This window comes from Homo sapiens, chromosome 4 (assembly GCF_000001405.40).
Source record: "Homo sapiens chromosome 4, GRCh38.p14 Primary Assembly".
Taxonomy (NCBI): Eukaryota; Metazoa; Chordata; class Mammalia; order Primates; family Hominidae; genus Homo; species Homo sapiens.
In genome coordinates this window covers 136,785,526-136,806,191 of record NC_000004.12, presented here as the reverse complement: position 1 = coordinate 136,806,191, position 20,666 = coordinate 136,785,526, and the positions used below count along the sequence as shown (strand labels likewise).

At 36.9% G+C, this 20,666-nt stretch overlaps 1 long non-coding RNA gene across 1 annotated transcript in view; it reads left to right on the top strand.

Annotated features, from left to right (window-relative positions):
- Positions 1 to 10,290, top strand: part of LINC02511 (long intergenic non-protein coding RNA 2511) — a 416,898-nt gene extending 406,608 nt beyond the window's left edge. Inside the window, exon 4 of the long non-coding RNA NR_149105.1 lies at positions 7,958 to 10,290. This is a non-coding gene — a long non-coding RNA (long intergenic non-protein coding RNA 2511). The remainder of the gene's footprint in view (positions 1 to 7,957) is intronic.
- Positions 10,291 to 20,666: the final 10,376 nt, after the last annotated feature.

Below are 20,666 nucleotides of genomic sequence, written 5' to 3'. Positions count from 1 at the left end.
ATTTATTAAGTGAAAGGAAAGCTCTCAGCTGTGAGAGGGGACCCTGAAAGTAGGTTGCTTCCAGGGTATCTGTGGTTGGGGACCTTCATGTGGAAGAAATAAGGAAGTCTTCTGTGGGTTTTGCCTTAATGGGAGGGGTAAAATTCCCTCCTAGGGTTATTGCATCTGCGCTTGCCTGGGGTTGGCCATAGTGACTCCATCTTAGTTGTTACCTATGAGTGGCTAAGCAAAACCCATGGGTGGGGGGACTAAAACCACAATGCTAATGTCATGTTAATGATGTTATAATGAGCTGGGTTAAGTTAATGACATTTAGATTGATTTATTGTGCCTTCACCTAGGTTAGGACAGTCCTTCTAAGCAGACATCCTGGCATAGGAGGAAGCTCTTAACCACATTTCTTTTGCTAGCTGCAGAGGCAGTGTTGGTGCTGTCCCGCAGGTGTTCCTGTGACTATTGCCTCTCTCCCGAGACCTCCCTCTCTGTCTAACCAGTCTCTAACTGCCTCCTCTCTCACTAGCATGTTCTGCTTCTGATTTGGCTTTGTAATTTCTGCAAGATTTTCAAAGCACAATGACATTGGTTTTCTAATGTAAAAAACTGGGTTCCAGAGCTAACATTCAATGATTCTACCTTTATAGCCAATACAACAATAACATTTTAATTTGAAAATATTTCAGAGAGCTTTAATATGCATAGATTTCCATATTCTATCCCAACAAACTTTTTGATAAGTGCATGTTTCATCCCTCAAGCAAACTTTAAATTGTTTTGGCTATAGATTAAAATTCTGACTTATTCACTAGTTATTTTATGATCATATTCTGAGTTGAATTTGCCAGCCCCCCTAAATTATGTTACCGATATGTTGAACTCCTACCTCTCAGTACCTCATTATGTGATCTTATTGGAGACAGAGTCTTTACAGATATAAAATGATGTTGCTGTAGGATTTTTCTTGGCCCCTTTGCTGGACTCATAGCAGGGGCTTGCTATGCTCAACCCCTTAGAAGAGGGAGCATGTGAGTGAGCAAGTGCAGGATCTGGCCAGCCACTCCAGGTGCCAAACACAGGAGCAAGCTCTGTACAGGGCCCATGGCCAGAGAAGGTGCTGGTGAGTGAGTGTGGGATCCTGCCAGTCGCTCCAGCCGCTGACACAGGAGTGAGTTCTGCAGGGCCCACAGCCAGACAAGGTGTATTGCCTCAAGGGGAATGTGGTAGTGCCCAAGTGAAGGTGCCTGTGGCCCCAAAGCAAAGTTACAGTGCTCATGTGGTTCTGCCATCCACGAACAGGAGTGTGTTGGCAGCTCAGTTGGCCCCTTGCCTCATTGTATGGGGCAACTGCCCTCCGCCAGTGAGGGCAAAGGGCCGGTGTGACAGCCTTTCTGGTTACCCACAACCAGTGGTTCCCGAGCTCTTTTCTGGCATCCAAGAAGAATGAGATTATGCAGACAGTTGACGGATGGTGAAGTCAGAGAATTTTATTGAGTGATGAAAATGGCTTTCAGCAGAGAGGGGAGATGGAGGGAGGACAGGAAGCACAGGTCATCTTCCCCAAAGTCAGGTTGTCTCTTCCCTGAAGTCAGGCTGTCTCCCCTTCTACTGACTGAGTCTGTGGTCTTTATAGACACAGGATGGGGAGTGCATGCTGATTAGTTGTGAGTATGCAAAAAAAGGTTAAAGCAAAGATACCACTCAAAGGTGGGCACAACAGTGTAGAAAACCAATTAGTAAGGGGTAGGTATATGTAAAATAGGTAAAGGGTAAGGATAAATCAGAGGAAAGCACACCAAATGTGAAGACAGTTTCTCAACTTGGTCCAAGGATTTAATTTGTACCTTGGCTCTCAGGCTTTAAACTATCTTTGGCTCAGAGGTAGGGTTTCACCAGGGGCCCGCTCCTCTCTGCATAGGCATTTGACAGTCTCCTGCTGCTCTCTATGTCGTTATGGTGGATCCTAATATGATTGATCTTATTTTTTTTAAAATAGGGGAAATTTGGAAAACACACACACACACACACACACACACACACACACACGGTGAATGCCATATAAACATGAAAGCGGAGATGAGGGTGATGTTTCTCCAGGCCCAGGAGTCCCAAAGATTGCCCGCAAACCTCCAGAAGCCATGGGAGAGATCTGGACTTCAGAAGTAACCACGCCTGTCCGTACCTCGAGGTCAGATGTCTAACATCCAGAACTGAGACAATAATTTCTGTTGTTGAAGCCCCACTGTCTGTGGAACTTCCTTATAGCAGCTGTAGCAAATATACAAATCATGCCAAGCTAAAAAGAGAAAATACAGATGAACTAATTATATTGTTGATTTTCCTTTAACATAACTATTTGTTCCCACCAAGAATTTAGTTTCTTATCTCTAAATGATTCAAGTCAAAAATTAATCAATGACTTGGGTCACTTTAGCTGTTACTTAGAATTACCTTCCATACTGACTTTGGGGGGTAGGGGCCTGGGGCAATCCCTCTCTGGCCTCTGGTTGACACACGCGCTAACTGGAGCTGTTGATGATTAATGCTACACATCAGGTCAGCTCCTTCCTGCTCATGTATCATAAAGGTCTCCCGCAGCTCCCAGCAGTATCATACTAATTCAGTGCCCTAGCAAAATTAGCAGCAGGAAACAAACCTTTGTAATTTTCTTCCTTTATAAATAGCATTGTTCCTTCAGTAAAGGATAGCAGCTCCTGCTGTAATTGTTTCTGCACTGAAAAGTTACTTTCTTTCCATCAGTGTTAAAAATCAATCAAATGAGTGTATATAAAATTAACCAGCCTACTGAGAAAGAGAACATTCCTTTTACTTTTGAACTCTTCTGATTTCATCTCTCAGAGTGGGTCTATTGTACTGGTATTTTTTAGGGAGCACTCAATACTTTTAATGTGCCTTGAGGTTGTCATAGGAGAGAGAGGAACAACAGACGGAGCGTGAATGATCCTATGACACTGGTTTTTGGTGCTTTTTTTTCTCTCAAAATTTATTTTATTCTCAGCAAAACAGTTAATAATGACATTTGAATGTGAAATCCGGGACTTTATGGTTCTTGAACATGAGTACAGAAATTATAGACCAAAGGTTGTGTTATGTATAGAAGGCAGTTATATAGAAACTGTAATTTCTTGGTGTGCAAGGGAATTCATCACAAGCATCCTCTGAGGTAGTATAATACATCATCTTCAAAATTGACTGGAAGTTTAATGGACATAGACCACAGTAATTTAAGAGCTTAGCATTTTTTCTCACATTGCAATTGTTGTGGAAAAAAAATATCATGTGGGTGTCAACCCACTTCTACTTAATCTTAACTCCAAGTAAATAAAATTGGAAAAAAAAACTTTTTTTTTTTTTTGGAACGGAGTCTGGCCTTGTCGCCCAGGCTGGAGTGTAGTGGCGCAGTCTCGGCTCACAGCAAACTCTGCCTCTTGGGTTCACGAAATTCTGCTGCCTCAGCCTCCTGAGTAGCTGGGACTACAGGTGCCTGCCACCACACCCGGCTAATTAAAAAAATAACTCTTAATATAGACAATAACAAAGTGATCCAAAAGAAACACTTAATACAAACAACAGTTAAAAGGAAAAATATTTACAATAACAAAACATAAAAACCCAAATGTTAGAGAATGAGGATGAAAATCAATAAAAGTACATTTATCATTACATTTAGTATACATAGAATTGGCTGGGCATGGTGGCTCATGCCTGTAATCCCAGCACTTTGGGAGGCCAACGCGGGTGGATCACAACGTCAGGAGTTTGAGACCAGCCTGACCAATATGGTAAAACCCTGTCTCTACTAAAAATACAAAAATTAGCTGAGCATGGTGGTAGATGCCTGTAGTCACAGCTACTCGGGAGGCTGAGACAGGAGAATTGCTTGAACCCGGGAGGCGGAGGTTGCAGTGAGCCGAGATCGTGCCACTGCACTCCAGCCTGGGTGACAGAGCGAGACTCCGTCTCAAAAAAAGAAATAAAAAAAGTATACATAGAATTAAGAAAGATTGTGGGCGAGGCATGGTGGCTCACACCTGTATACCAAAGCCTATCATGAGCCTAAACTGAACTCTTTGTCAGGTTGTAGGCATTTATGGACTTTTGGGAGAGAACTGAGGTGCCAGGGCAGACCTTCAAGCAAAGGAGATTAGAAGCCTCTTGGGAAAGAAACAAAGTCCTGAAGTAGAACTCTCCAAGGAGAGTCTTGCACACCTGCCTGAAATCACAAGATGGTAGCCTTTCAGTCTCTGGGTTTTATAAGTGCTATCTGTTGCTTAAAATTCACATTTATCCCCATCTTCACTATACCATGCCCCAACACCTACGGGCTCATGACTGACTTTAAGATCGAGATAAGTCTGTAAATAAAAACTGAAAAGGGTGTTTTTGTTAAATTTCCATTATATGTCTAGAGAAAAATTAGCATTGTTTTGAAACTCATCTAGCATAGTGAAACTGCAAAATGTAAGAGAAACATCACTATCCCTGTATTGGCATAGAACACAATACTGTATTCAGGAAAACTCTGTAACTCATTCTAAAGGTCCAGGGTCCAGCATTCTTGTTCCAAAGGCACGGGGTGCCACAGCATAGCACTGCCTCATATAATGATAATGAAAGCAGATGCTAAAAGCTGGTGTCATTAAACGGTTGAGTTTGTTTTGTAGAAACAGCTCAGGAACAAATACTGATGACAGTTTGCAGGCACTTTCAGGGAAGAGTAGCTTTAATAAATGAGTATGATAAAAAATGATTTGCATTGTAAAACAAGTATTTTTCCTTTAAAAATTTAATTTAAGATTTCTACATTCTATTCTATAATTTTCTGTTTTGCTGTAAGCTTACCTTACTTTTATATTACAAAATGTTAAAAAATAATATTATACTAGCAAAATTTTGGAAAGAAAACTTGCCCTAAGTTGAATCTTCCTGCTAGTTTGTGAAGAAATGAAATAATTGCTCTATGACAATAGATTTTGTTCTACACAGTGTCATCCAAAATCAGAAAAATAGTGCTATATTCAACAACTATTTGTAATGTTAATTCAAAAACTGCAATCATAGAGACGGTTCAGGATCAGGACAGTGTTATTTAATATTGTGTTCACATCACTGAATTTTTGAATGGCACTAAATTGGGTGATTTGTCTGAACTACCTGGTTGTTTTGGTATCATGCAAACATCTTGCTAAAGGGACTCTATTTATATGCTCTCTTGTGATGAAGTTGGGTTATACATTACTATGAGCAATTACTAATAGCATATTAAATTTTAAAGACCGATTTTATCTACCAAGTCAGGAGAAGTGATAGGTCATGAATTTAAAATAGGAAAGTAAACATCCAAGTTTTTTTTCAAACTTGACTTCCATGTTTTAGCTGCAATTTCTTACCCTTATATAATACTCTCTAAAATAGGCAATTTACTTCATCAAGGCAATAATTTAACTAACATTGTGTTTAACCTCTAATGACCAAATATACAAAAAAGAAAAAATACCCACAAAGGTAAGTATTCTTTAGGCTTAGCAAAAGTGACTTGCTATTAATATTATTCTCAATTTGTTTCGAACCTGTTGAGTTGAGCAAAACGGCATGAATGAGGTCCTAGCTGAGATTATTTATTGAAGCAAAAAAAGAATTAGAAAGGGTGGTGACACATATATCATTGCCACTGTTACAAACAGCTTCGAAAATCCAGTCTCAGTTGAGTATATTAAACTCTATGAATGACTGGGCAGGCAAAATTATAGTCCACTAGGATAATTATAGTTCACAGTCATATCTAATGGGATCTGCATAAATCAGGCTATTGTTTGCCACAAAGTGTATTTATACTTGTCAAATGATTGTAATTGGACATTTACAAAGGACCATTTCAATTTATAAACATGACTTTTTAAATGAATATTTATAAAGCACTTGTTAAAGAAAATAAATTTACTCAGGTAATTTTGAACTGTGATTTTACAGCATGTAATGTAAAACCATCTCTTACTAAGAAAATCTCCACTAAGTGTCTGTTGATGGAAAACCTCAAAATTAGATAGAGAAAAAATCCTTTCAGTGGTTCACAGCGAAAACTTATTTTGTAGTATCAAAAACAGTAGCGTTAAGTTTAAATTCCAAGCTGTGGGACTAATTTTTATGGCGGGAATAGCACCAAGCCTATATACAATGGCACACAGATGCAGATCCCTTATCTATACAACTTACATAAAGCCTATCAGATAATTCTACCTATATTTTAGAACTTTGCAAAAAAATTGAGTACTAATTTATTCCAAAATAATGAGGAATTATGAAGTTAAGTAGGTCTTTTAGACTACCACATATTCTACTATGGATAACTTCTTTTATTCAGACTTTAAGTTTTTTCATCTTATTCAGTATTACACCGTTTACTAGTAAAAGGATCTACAAAATAGATCCTTGTCACAGAGCCTTTGACATTACCTGAATTGAGGTGGAAACAGCCAATATAAGGACTTCATTCTATCAAGTCTTTGACCAACCACTTACTCTGTAGCTAATTTTATTAGTCTGATAATTCTATATATCATAGAACACATCGCTGGAAAATGTACCCTGTCATTTATTACTAGCATATGACCCACAAAATTCTCCTTGGATTTTGATTCCTTTCAGTTGGGCTGGACCATCCGAAGCTTAGAAACACCCCATGAAAATAAATTTAAGACAGATATGCTTCTGTGGCCTGTTCTTGCCCTTTATCCATCATGGGCTCTGCTTGGTTTTCTCTTTATCATCTAAGGTTGGATATCTCCTCCAGGTTACACAGGACATAGCAGTTGCTTGAGATGGAACAATCTAAAAGCAAATGATGTAAGTTAAAAGAACATACAACCTGATATAGTTTGGATATTTGTTCCCTCCAAATCACTTGTTGAAATTTGATCCTCAGTGGTGGAAGTGGGGCATAGTGGGAGGCACTTGGGTCATGGGAGCAGATCGCTCATGAACAACTTGTTGTCACCCTCAGGGTAATGGGTGAGTCGCTCTATTAGTTCCTGGGAGAACTGATTGTTAAAAAGAGCCTGCCACCTCCATTTTCTCTCTCTCCTTTCTCTTTTGCTTCTAATTTCTTTTGCCACGTGACCTCTGCACATGCCAGCTGCCCTTTGCCCCCATCTCACCGTGAAGTGAAATCCTCACCAGAAGCAAATGCTGGCACCATGCTTCATGTACAGCATGCAGAACTATGAACCAAATAAACCTCTCTTCTGTATAAATTACTCAGCCTCTGGTATTTCTTTATTGCAATGCAAATAAACTAAGAAATGGCCATTTCAGTTCTATGTATAACTGCTTATTCTTACTGGCAAAACTTCCCCTTCCAACCAACTCTGCCCATTAGAGTGATCCAGTTCTGTTGCTGAGAAATCCATTTTTCCCTACATGTGCAATGAATCTTAACCTCTTCAGGAAGAGGAAAGGCAGTTTCCTATTTTCTCTAGAGATTAGGATGTCTCCCACCTCACCCTAATATCCCAATTATATTAGGAGCGTATGTTTTCACAGTTGCACTAGCATCTATTCCACTTTCTTCTTTGTACATCTTTCCCATTTGTTTTACTACCTAATTTACTCTCATCATTCAAGATTCAATTAAACCAATATATTGTGTTGAAATATTATTCTCTCAAGCACATCAGATACTCCTCTCTGAAATTTCTGCATTATGGTGTTGATCAAACTTTTTACCGTATTCTTAAAAGCTGCATTTCCTACAATGAGATGCTTTGTCCAGAAGCCTGGGTCATTAAACTTTAGCATCTAATTAGCAAATTTTCAGTATATGAAGAGTTCGTGATAATTCTTGTGAAGGCCTCAATTCCTAAGAAAAATATGTCACCTATTTTAAAACTTGAATATAGTTTCCATGTTGCATTAGCCAATTAACATGATTTATCTAAATCCGCAGATAATGAAAGAGAGGCACCTGACTCAAGCAATGGATGTCGGAGCAGAAGACTAGAAGGCAAAGCAAGTACATGCTACCTGTCTGGGCAAGACCTTTCAGTGCCTTTCCATATTTCAATGGGTAGTCATCTGCACACCTTCCAGTCTTTTCTTCTGTATTGCAAAGGCTAGAAGCCTTGGTACTATATTTATCAAACTTACTTTTTTTTTTTTTAACAAATCTTCAATGTGATTCTCATTTTGCTAAGATACATTTGTATGAAATTTTGAGATAGAAAAGTATGAATAAGAAAGCATTGCCTTCTTTCTCAGTGGCAGCACACAAACATATGGACTTCACAGACACGACATTTTGCAGCAACTTCTAGATCTTCCCCCTGTGAGTGCCCTGGGACATCATTACAATAAATAAACCATTCAGGAAGTCAAAGGATGGTAGTTTTCACAGAAGCATTGCAAGCATTGAGAAGAAAAATAATCCATATCTAGTAGGTTTATTTTTATGAGGATAAATCTCTGGCCTCTCCATATGGAAAAGGATCTCCTGTAAGTTAATCCTGCCATCAGGTTGCTGGCTGGTTTGCCTGGGATATAAAGCCCTATTAGTGAGCCAGTGGTGACCTTTGCTGCTGTCTGGTTAGATGCGCAGCAGCACTGCAGTCACCCTTTCTGAGGGAAAGTTCACGTTTTGAAGCCTAGGTAGAAATTCTCTCTGTACCACCATGGTTTCACTGAATGTGAGTCAATTGAGGCATCACCAGGGTGGCAAAAAGTTATCAAGTCAAGCCCAGTCAACTCAGAAAATTCATCTCAGAATTCCATTTTACGTCAATTTCCTGGCATAATGTTGAAACACTCTGCCCTTTAGTATCTGGAACAATGTCTAACACAATAATGCTTAACGCCGGGGAAATGAGGGCATAGGTCTGAATCTCCGGAGATTCCTTTTATGGGGAATATCTTTTAACACCCCTTAGGAAACAACATCAACTCACTAAAGACAGTACCAATAAGGTCTCCTGCCTTCCCCAGGAATAAAGATTTAAATCACACCAGCTCAATGCTGGTTGAGGGCAAGGGAACAATGAATGGCTTGTGGAAGGGGAAAGTTAAAAATGCAAATTACAACTTTGTGCCCCATTTAAGGAAAGAGAACTTGAATAGCTATGCATATTTGTGTTTTCTTCCTTGCTTTGTTATGTACATATTTGTATATATCAGCCACTAACTTCTTATCTTTCCTTCATTCTTCACTTACTAATTTACATAAGGTACTGGTAGTTCATATAAATTCATTTTTAGAGACTAAATATAAAAGCAGAATTGCAACTGAACTTAAGCAAGAATCATTATCACCCAGGGCTAGATTTGGTGACTAATAGAAGTTTGGATCTCTATTTTTAGAGGAGGGATTGAGAAAATTTTTGTATGGGGAATAATTCTATTCTATTAGCAAGAATCGTGTTGTTTTTTGCCATTGCTGCTAATTAAAATTTTAAATATTGTCAAAAGTGGTATATATTATGCTCGATTTTTTCCTTTTGGCACCCAGTATATGTTCCCAAACTCTCCTGTGCTCTTTTTGCTATCATGTGAGCTAAAAGCCTGGTAAGTAGATTTTTCAGACTCCTTTGTATTCAGTGTTCAGTGTATGATGCATGTTTTGACTAATGGGTAACTGCATCTTTAATCCATATTGTTATTTAACATACATTGTAATTTCCATACTTGTTTTCAATCTCCCACACTAGAATGGCAATTGTGAAAGCACGGAGGTTTTTTTTCTTTTTATTTTTTGAGATGGAGTCTTGCTCTGCTGCCCAGGCTGGAGTGCAGTGGCGTGATCTCGGCTCACTGCCAGCTCCACCTCCCAGGTTCAAGTGATTCTCCTGCCTCAGCCTCCCGAGTAGACGGTACTACAGGCGAGCGACACCATGCCTGGCTAATTTTTGTATTTTTACTAAAGACGGGGTTTTACTATGTTGGTCGGGCTGGTCTCAAACTCCTGACCTCGTGATCCGCCCACTTCGGCCTCCCAAAGTGCTAGGATTATAGGCGTGAGACACCGTGCCTGGCCACAGAGGTTCTTTCTATCTGGTGCTCAATAATATTTCCTGCATGAATGATTAATAAGTGAATTAATATTAAAACAAAAAAATAAGAAAAGTCAATGACTTTATAGGATTTGCACATTGAAATATTTTAAATTGAACTAGGGTAACTTCAACATGCTAACACATGTTGAGACATGGACATGGTAAATTTTTCAGATCCATAATTTTATAATAATTTTCAAATTACATGAAAGCTTTGCAGCACTCAAAACCAAGGTACAAAAAGAAAAAAAAAATCTTACAATCTCAGATGGTTACCCAAAATAAGAACATTTCTTAAATTTCTGCAAAAATATTGTAAAAATGAAACACATGAATAGAAAAATAATCAGTGATAAAAAGTATTGATTGAGTAGGTTAAATTGATTATTACTAGTATCCATAGTAGAGAAGAAAGATAGTGCTATTCATTACTTGTTATTTTCTTATCCTGAAAGACTAGATGCTCTTTTAGTTTTGCCTTTCTACCCACATCAGAGATATTTCCTCACTACTGGTGTTTGTGTGTATTTTTCCAAGGGAATGATTAAATTCTGGAGGAGAAGGTTCATGTGTTGGTGATTTTTGTGTCTTTCAGGGTATAACTTCTTCTCACACAGTGGGAAAAGATATATTTTTTTAAATTGAAGTAAAACATTTGATGTGCCTAAATAGCTAGCTAGAAATCTTCTGCACATACAAAGTTCAATTTCATAAATTCTATAGTACATTGACTAAAGCTATATAAAAATAACACAAACTTAACTAAAAGAGTAAGCCTTCAAAATAATCCTGATTAATGGATGGACTAATTATTCTTCACTATGGAAGATATTTGATAGCATTCATTAGTCCTTCTCAACAAGTAGATCCTTGCAAAATAATCGTAAGAATCATTTCTTTTAAATTATTTAAATCGTTCTTTAAATTAAAACATATTATACTTGCATTGTCAGTCATTTGGAAACTTTAATAATCAAAATGAATGTCAGATTTTAATGAAAATTAGCCCTCACACCTGTCATCCAAACTTATCATATTTCTCATTTTGACTTGAAAGTGGAAAAAATACACCCTTCTATATCTGATTATTCAGCTTTTGACCTTATTGTATTTAATTATATATTTTATGCTTATTATGAATCTCTTAATGTAGATGAGTTTCTTTTACCCTGTAGTGGCTCATTGAACTGATAGAGTTGACAATTTTTCCCAAAAAAGCATGCATTAAGTGTCATCATAAAATCTAATTTACAGCTGTCCTACATTTGAGTACAACTGCTTTCTACACACTGTACTTAGTTATATCATTTGTTAAATAAATTTGCATGTCATATATGAAATTCTGTTCATGAAATGTATTTCCATACGTCTCAATTGTCAAACTTTTATCTTCATTACCTTGAGATTTCAAAAGCAAAAATCAAAACCTCCTTGGTTTCAGCTTTTTCTAAAGAACAATTTTTGAATAACAATTGTTAGATTTCATATTCTTTCAAAATGGAAAAAATGCATTACTAAAATGGCACATTTTTGATATCAGATGAATGCTCTTATCTGCTATAGAAATACAACTTTATTATTAACATATTTTTGAAATAATTATATACATGTATTTATTATGCTAAATAGCTATTATCTATTATGCTAAGATTTCGTGGGATTTTTATATCGTTATAAAAGTCATTGAATGACACAAATGTTACTTAAAAGGTTTCCACCATCTGATAAATCTATTAGAAAATAGTCTGCAGTAACTGTTAACCCGATTTGCCAAGTTGAGCTCCAATTACTTGCCGTATATTAGAAGCAGCACCAAAGATCTGGTTATTCTGGAAGGATTAGGGAAGACAGAAAAGAATGCCTGCCTGGGAGCAGAAGACCTGGTCTCTAGAATTGGATCTATTACTAATAATTTAAAATTGTGAAGCCATATTTGCTCATCTGCAAAATGTGGAGCATAACTCTTGTTTCCTCGACTCAGGATTATGGTAAGCAGTAACGTATTTATAGTTTACAAAAATAGTTTACAAATACTTTGAGTATCCCTGGAGGACAGCAGGCTGAGGTCTGAAGCCCTGCAAGGGAACTCCATGCAGCAAAGGGTATAGCAAAGTCTGTGGGCGGCTGAAGAGAGCCTTCGATTGGGAAACAGAGAAATGAGACATGCATTCTTAGAATGTGACCTTCATGCTAATTTCCTTTGTCTTTCTTATTCATGTATGCTTCTGACCTATACAAGATGTAACTCCCCATCTTCATATGAAAATCTGAAATCAGAAATCACTGAATATTTCACAGAACTTCTTTACCTCACCATCCACATTGAATCATTTGCCAAGTCCTGTGGATATTATCTCCAGAAAGTTTTGTGTTTTTTTACTATTTATTGTGAACATGTGTATACTAAATCCCATGTTACATTAATATTTTATATCATGATTTAACTTAGTATAACTTAATTTCATCATGTGTACATGTGTAACACAATATTTTTACAGTCTATTGCTCTCTGAGTTCTTCCTATTCTGCCTGAAAAAATTAGTCTCATTCTTTGAGTAAAATATAGAAATGAATTCCTTCCACAAAACAATGTTGTTAGGTATTTTTTTTAAAGTCAAAGTAATTTAAAACTAGAATAGATAAAAACACTTTGTAAAACATCGTTTTTCTTAACAGAGAATATTCATGCACTGTCAAGGGATGAAATAGATGAGCTAATATAATTCTGCATATTTAATTTCTGCAATCTTATAAGGTCTGACAGTTATTAAACAAGTAATTAAGAGGCATTATGCAATTATATTTAACTTGCATTCATATATGATGTTTGATTTAAAAAGTAACTGTATCATGCATGGTTTTCATGATAGACATTTAGAGGCAAATTTCAGGAGACAGTGAGTGTATGAATTTAATACATGACAATTTTTAGGATAGCTTTTATCCTCCACCTAGATAAATTAAATATATTTATAATTAGGACTGTGGTGAAACCCTATTAATTTTTCTTAACTTAAATGCATTAGTCTAAATTTACGATAAAATAATCTTTTGAATTTAAAATTGTTAAGTTAATAACCTTACATTGAAATGTAATCAGTGCCTTAGGATGCATCTATTGAAATTAGTGGAACAGAGTATAACATATTCTAGTCTCTTAGCCTGTTTTAATGATGAAAGCATTTAAGTATATTGTGAGATTTCGATGCTTGAAATTAATTCAGAAGACTATAAAAATAATTGCAATGTAATAATCGAGTTTAAAAACAGGCCGTTTACATTTTTAATATTAATTTTTAATTTGTTTTTTACAATTGCTGTAATGCATTCAGTATCAAACATCTGTAATTGTAGATTTTAATAATTTAGTATATATCATGTGCTAAATTGAAGAATAGCAACAGAAATTTCCATGTTATTTCCTAAAGCCAGTCTTCTGAGTTCCTCAATTCAATCACCACATTTAAAATTTGAGGTTATTTTTATATGTCCCATATGAATTTCTGGACTATGTGTGTCTGTTTTGAACTTTTTCCTCCCCTTTAATTTGGATCTCATTGCCTCTCAATTTTACTCCTGTACCAGCTTCAAAGCTTCTTCTCTTCAATCCACCCTTCCTTTGCCACTTTCTTATTAGAGCTTCACTACTTTTATATCAATCTTTTGCTCTAAGTCTCTTTTAAGCTTTCCTCCCAGCCTTACTGGAAAAAAAAAATTTAAAGTACATAGTATGGCCTTATTGCATCCCCACCCCTCCAGATGCACACAGGCATGGGCACACATACAGACATGAGTCTAGACTCAGTTTACCATAACAGCTTTTCTTCTTGCCATATTTCCCTGTCTCTTCTATGCTAGGAACACTAGACTACTGGCTAATTCCAGCAGATGTTTAAATTTCACCATCACCATGTCTTTACTACCAGGGTCCTAATATTGAAATGTTTTTCTTTCTTCCTCACCCTCTGACCCTCTTAGTCTGTTGAGATTTTGGGTAGAATCAATGGATCAACCAATTTTCCCCAGAGAATCTTTCCCTTATTTTGTAATAAGAATTAATTTTCATCGCTTTGTACTCTTTGTGGCATAGTATTTAGCCTAATCTACCTGAATTAGTACTACCATCAGCATTACTTTCTCCACGAATGTATGGGCATTTGTCACCAGAGAAGATCTCAAATTCAATTTTGTTTCTTCCTCCTTAGTACCTGGAAGAGTTTTCGTTGAGTATAATATCAATGAGCACGTAGTGAAAGAAGGGAGAAGGGGGAAATATGATTTCTTGATTTCTTCCAGTTCTATATTTCCTTCCTGAATTAGTGAATATACACTAATCTGATAATTTACAAAAATTCTCATTATAAGTACACCATATTTGAACAATAAAAAGAACCACATAGCCACTCCTTCCTCTTTTGAAGTTTGGTATTTGTGCAGACTTTTTGCTGACCAATATCATCTTTATATTTGTCATGACTTGGAACATAATGTTTTTAAAAACATAATTCCAATTTTGATTTTAAGTTCAGGAGGTACATACATGTGCAGGTTTGTTACCTGGATATACTGTGTGATGCTGAAGTTTGGGGTATGACTGATCTGCTTACCAGGCACTGAGCATAGTACCCAATAATTAGTTATATAGCCCTTGCCCCCTACTACTCTCAGTCTCTGTCATTGCCATTATTATGCCCATGAGTACCCACTGTTTAGTTCCCACTTATAAGTGAGAACCTGTGGACCACAAGCTTTTAACCACTTTCTGTAACCCTGTCCCATCTAAACTAACCTTACAGATATTCCTCAACTTATTCTGCACAGTATTCAATTCAAAGCCTAGTTTTAGCTGAAGAACCAATGAAAACACTTCTTGTTTTCTCATCCATCTTTTCCTGTTTAATGTTGACCCAAACATTCCTCTACTTGGAGTTTCTTCATTAATTATTTCAAGACACTGTACATTGCGCTTTCACACATTTTACTTTCAGATGGTTCTTGAATTATTTTCTTAACTATATAAATTTTCTACATAGCAGAAGTCAAGTGAAGTTTTATTGTTTCTATATTTATTGCAGTATATGTTAAAGGGAGTACAAACAAGGAAGAAATTTAATAAATGCTTATTAATCTCCAAAATTTGGCTAACCATTGCAAATTTGTGCATGAGATTTAAATGTATTGCTTGATTTATTTGTGATTCTGACTTTATTTTTAAAATCATTATAAAATCAGTTAATTTTTTAAGTTATGTTATTAACAACAATGTCTTATGAAATATAATGATTTCTTTTTTATCTTTAGTGAAGTAATTCCCACTTAACCTGAAAAGAGCCAGTGGTAACTCCAGTTAATAAGAATCCCTGAAACAAATGTACTAGCTTAGAAATGGCTGAATTGAACAGCTTATAGTTCTCACATTAATTGGAAATGTTTCTTCTTTTATTATTGTCAAGTTAGTTACATATGCTAGTAAAATTTTAATATGTTTTTTAAAATTTAAAAAGTAGTATTGACACATGATATTACAACAGAATATTTTGACCAGAAATATTGTGCTGCTGAACCTTAGAGTCTAAAATAAACACACTACTGGTGGCAAAGAATGACTCTATGAAGAGGCAATGATACAGAGTACAATGCAAAAAGATTGGCATTCTGGACTCCTGTGTTTGAGTTCATGGTAAGGCAAACCTACTGTGTGATGTTGGGCAAAGCAATTTTCCACATATGTGGACTACTTATTCTTTATCTTTGAAAATGTGAATAGCAGTTCTTGCCTCATCAGTTTACTAAGAGGGTTACGTAAAGTAACATATATGAAAGCCATTAGCACAATTACACATTTTATAATCATATTTTTAGTGAGTGCTCTCTACCCACCATTTGCTTTTCAGATAATTTCATGCATATTTTATCAACGATTTCCATATTTCATTTTCATAATTTTGTCACACTGAGAAAATAATCTGCATAATCTGTTTCCTACTTGATTTTCTTTAAAATGAACTCACTTTTTCCTTTTTTTCTTGTTCTGTATAATTATGAGTTTCCTAATTTATATAAATAAATATATAGTTACATAAATATAAATGTAATTATATATATTTTTTATATATGTACACATATAGTAGTAGTAATATATTACTATTATAGTATTTTAACAATGCCTTTCCAGCACCAGGTAAACATACCTCATGTACCACTAGTGTTATACTTTCACCGGTTTGAGAAATGATGCCCTATGTACTGTAATTCTTGTCACAACCAGGGGAAAGGAGATAAAGATTCTCATCTTCTTTTTATAAATATTAAAGCAAAGAAAATTTAAGTCACTTTCCTAAAGTATTACTGGGATTTAAAAATTTCTGAGGATTCTTTTAGGGTAATATAGAGGGATACTTGATTTCCCTAGTCAACTTTACTCCAAGCTCCTGCTTTCTTCTCAAATCTTTATTTTTTTCCCATTGACTTATCACCTCCCCATATTACAGTGTATTTTCTCATTTATTTTCTACAAATCCACTAGCACACGGCTGTAGATTTTTGTAGACCTTTAAAGAAAGAGTTATCATTTAAAGAAAGTGCAGAAATGATTATCTACAAGAGAAATATTGAAAATTAGATCTCACTCTTTCTATCATCTCTCAATTTTGTCCATGACAAGTGCTCTGACCCTCATCTAAAACATTCTCTCATCTTTTCTCTTTACCACTTCCTAGTATCCATTATCTCTCTGGAATAGTTAAGAAAAAACTCACAAATAGGTGCCTTTTAGTCTAAAATTCTACTTTAAGAAGCTCCAATAATAAGTTTTACTAACTAAAATTTTCTCTTCCCTGAATTAAATCCCTCTTCTCTAAAGTTTGGGTATTCTGTGACCATTTACTTTTCTTAATTTTTCTTTCTGTTACACTGATATATTATTACCATACAGGATTCTTAAGTTAGTGCAGTGGAATAACCATAAGAAAATGTGTGGAGAAGGTTTTTGCATTACCAAATGCACTTTCAACTGAGAACTATATACATAGATTAAGAAAACAATAGCAAAGCTTTAGAGTTGATTCAAAACAAACAACCTATTTTTGTTCTTCATTACTGAAGAGTTGGTGATGAGAATTGGTCTCTGTATTAGTCGTTTTTCATGCTGGTGATAAAGACATACCTGACACTGAAGTAAAAGAAGTTTTAGTGGAGTTACAGTTTACATAGCTGGAGAGGCCTCACAATCATGGTGGAAGGCAAGGAGGAGCAGGTCACATCTTATATGAATGGCAGCAGGCAAAAAGAGAGAGTTTGTGCAGAGAAATGCCCAATTTTAAAACCATCAGGTCAAGTGAGACTCATTCACTTTGACTAGAACAGCTCAGGAAAGACCCACACCTATAGTTCAATCAACTTCCACCAGGTTCCTCCCACGACACATGGGAATTGTGGGAGTTACAATACAAGATGAGATTTGGGTAGTGGCACAGCCAAACCATATAATTCCATTCCTGGCCCCTCCCATATATCATGTCCCCTCATTTCAAAACCAATCATGCCTTCCCAACAGTCCTCCAAAGTCTTAACTCATTTCAGCATTAACTCAAAATTCCACTGTCCAAAGTCCAAAGTCCAAGACAAGGCAAGTTTCTTTCTCCTATGAGCCTGTAAAATCAAAAGCAAGTTAGTTACTTCCTAAATACGATGGGGGTACAGGCATTGGGAAATTACAGTTATTGCAAATGGGAGAAATTGGCCAGAACTAACGGGCTATAGGGCCCATTCAAGTCAGAAATTCAGCAGGGCAGTAAAATCTTAAAGCTCTAAAGTGACCTCCTTTGACTCCATGTCTCACATCCAGGTCACAGTGATGCAAGAGGTAGGTTCCCATGGGCTTGGGCAGCTTCACCCCTATGGCTTTGCAAGGTACAGCCTCCCTTCCAGGTACTTTCACAGGATGGCATTGTGTGTCTGCAGTTTTTCCAAGTGAATAGTGCAAGCTGTTGGTGGGTCTACCATGCTGGGGTCTGGAGGACAGTGGCCCTCTTCTCACAGCTCCACTAGGCAGTGCCCTGGTAGGGGCTCTGTGTGTGGGATCTGACCCATATTTCCCTTCTGCACTGGCCTTGCAGAAGTTCTCCATGAGAGCCCTGCCCCTGCAGCAAACTTCTGCCTGGGCATCTAGGGTTTTACATACATCCTCTGAAATCCTAGGCAGAGGTTCCCAGATCTCAATTCTTGACTTCTGTGCACTTGAAGGCTCAACACCACATAGAAGTTGCCAAGGCTTGGGACTTGCACCCTCTGAAGCCATAGTCTGAGCTCTATGTTGGCCCCTTTCAACCATGGCTTGGAGCAGCTGGGACACAGGGCACCAAGTCCCTAGGCCGCACACAGCATGGGGACCCTGGGCCCAGCCCATTCCTGGGCCTCTGGGCCTGAGATGGGAGGGCCTGTCGTGAAGGTTTCTTACATGCTCTGAAGACATTTTCTTCATTGTCTTAGAGATTAACATCTAGCTCCTCATTACTTATGCAAATTTCTGCAGATGGCTTGAATTTCTCCTCAGAAAATGGGTTTTTCTTTTCTATCATTTGTCAAGATGCAAATTTTCCAAACTTTTATGCTCTGTTTCCCTTTTAAAACTGAATGTCTTTGAAAGCACCCAAGTCACGTCTTGAATGCTTTGCTGCTTAAAAATTTCTTCCATCAGATACCCTAAATCATCTCTGTCAAGTTCAAAATTCCACCAATCCTAGGGCAGGGGCAAAATGCTGCCAGTCTCTTTGCTAAAACATAACAAGAGTCACCCTTGCTCCAGTTCCCAACAAGTTCCTCATCTCCGTCTGAGACCACCTCAGCCTGGATTTCATTGTTGAATATCATTATCAGCATTTTGGCCAAGGCCATTCAACAAGTCTCTAGGAAGCTCCAAACTTTCCCACATTTTCCTATCTCCTTCTGAGCCCTCCAAAAACTGTTCCTCCCTCTGCCTGTTACCCAGGTCCAAAGTCACTTTTACATTTTTGGGTGTCTTTTCAGCAGCGCCCCAATCCCAGTACCAATTTATTGTATTAGTCCACATTCATGCTGCTGATAAAGACATACCTGAAACTGGGAAGAAAAAGAGGTTTTAATGGACTTACATTTCCATGTGGCTGGGGAGGCCTCGCAATCATGGTGTAAGGCAAAGAGGAACAAGTCACGAGTTACATGGAGGGGAGCAGGCAAAAAGAGAGAGCTTGTGCAGGGAAACTCCCATTTTAGAAACCATCAGATCTTGTGAGACTCATTCAGTATCATGAGAACAGCATGAGAAAGACACACCCCCATAATTCAATCACCTCCACTAGGTTCCTTCCATGATAAATGAGAATTGTGGGAATTACAATTCAAGATGAGATGTGGGTGGTGATGCAGACAAACCATATCAGCCTGGGTTAAAATAAAAATGGCGATGGTTTAGTCTGGAGTCTTTGTTTTGTCTAATTTGCTTCTGTCTCATGTCCGTCCCTCTAGCCTGGAGTTCCTGCTTCCTACTTCAGGACTTTTATTATGAATTATTTCAATAGAGAGGCCTCATGATCACAATAGTTAAGTTTTGAATCCCTGCAGTTGCAAGGTTGCAAAAATAATACAATATTTTTGCAATTTTAAAAGCATTTAGTACTGAAATATCAACTATTAAATTACTTCCTATTTACATATTCACTTTTCCCTTTCCAACAGAGACATGTACACATAAGTTCAGGCAGTTATCCCTGGAAATCTCCTGGTAGTTCTTGAATGCTGTAAACATCTCAGTGTAAAATGCAAATATAAAGAAGAATGATTACAAAGTGAACTTGTATATATCTTGGCAAAGATGAAGAATTTCATGAAGCTAATAATGTGAGATGTTAAGCAAAATTTTTCATCATTTAAAGCCATTGAAGATTATGCACCTGGCAGTGTCTATGAGTTTAAAATTGAAAGGACTACTGTCAAAGATAATGATAAAGAGCTTGTGAAAGTGATCTATTTAAATATCAACTAATAATGAGAGACCTGTGAGAAAACTGATAAAGTACTGAATTATTTTTATTAATAATAACCCTTTTTTGTAATCTTTCTTTAGAAGCCAAACATGAAGACCATTCTATGATGCCATTTATGCAAATAAACTATTAACACTTTAATCATTTCTAACAGTCTAAAACTCAGTATATAATACAAAACAACATCAAATTTGAACCCCTTCTTAGCTATTCAACCAATTCTACTTTCTTTTCCTTTCTTTTTTTTTTTTTTTTTTTTTTTTGAGACAGGGTCTCACTTTGTCACCCAGGCTGGAGTGGAGTGGTGTGATCTTGGCTCACTGCAGCCTCCACCTCCTGAGCTCCAGCAATTGCCCACCTGGGCCTCCCAAAGTGCTAGGATTACAGGTATAAGCCACCATGCCCACCCTACTCAATTCTTAATACAATAATGTAGAGGCAATGGCAAAATAAAAGAAAGAAGATAAAAGGGAGGAAGGAAAAGGGAGGAAGGAAGGAAAAGGAAGGAAGAAAAAGGAAGGAAGGAAAGAAGGAAGGGAGGGAGGGAGGCCGGGAGAGACAGGATTTACATTAAAATAACAGAGCCTAGAAT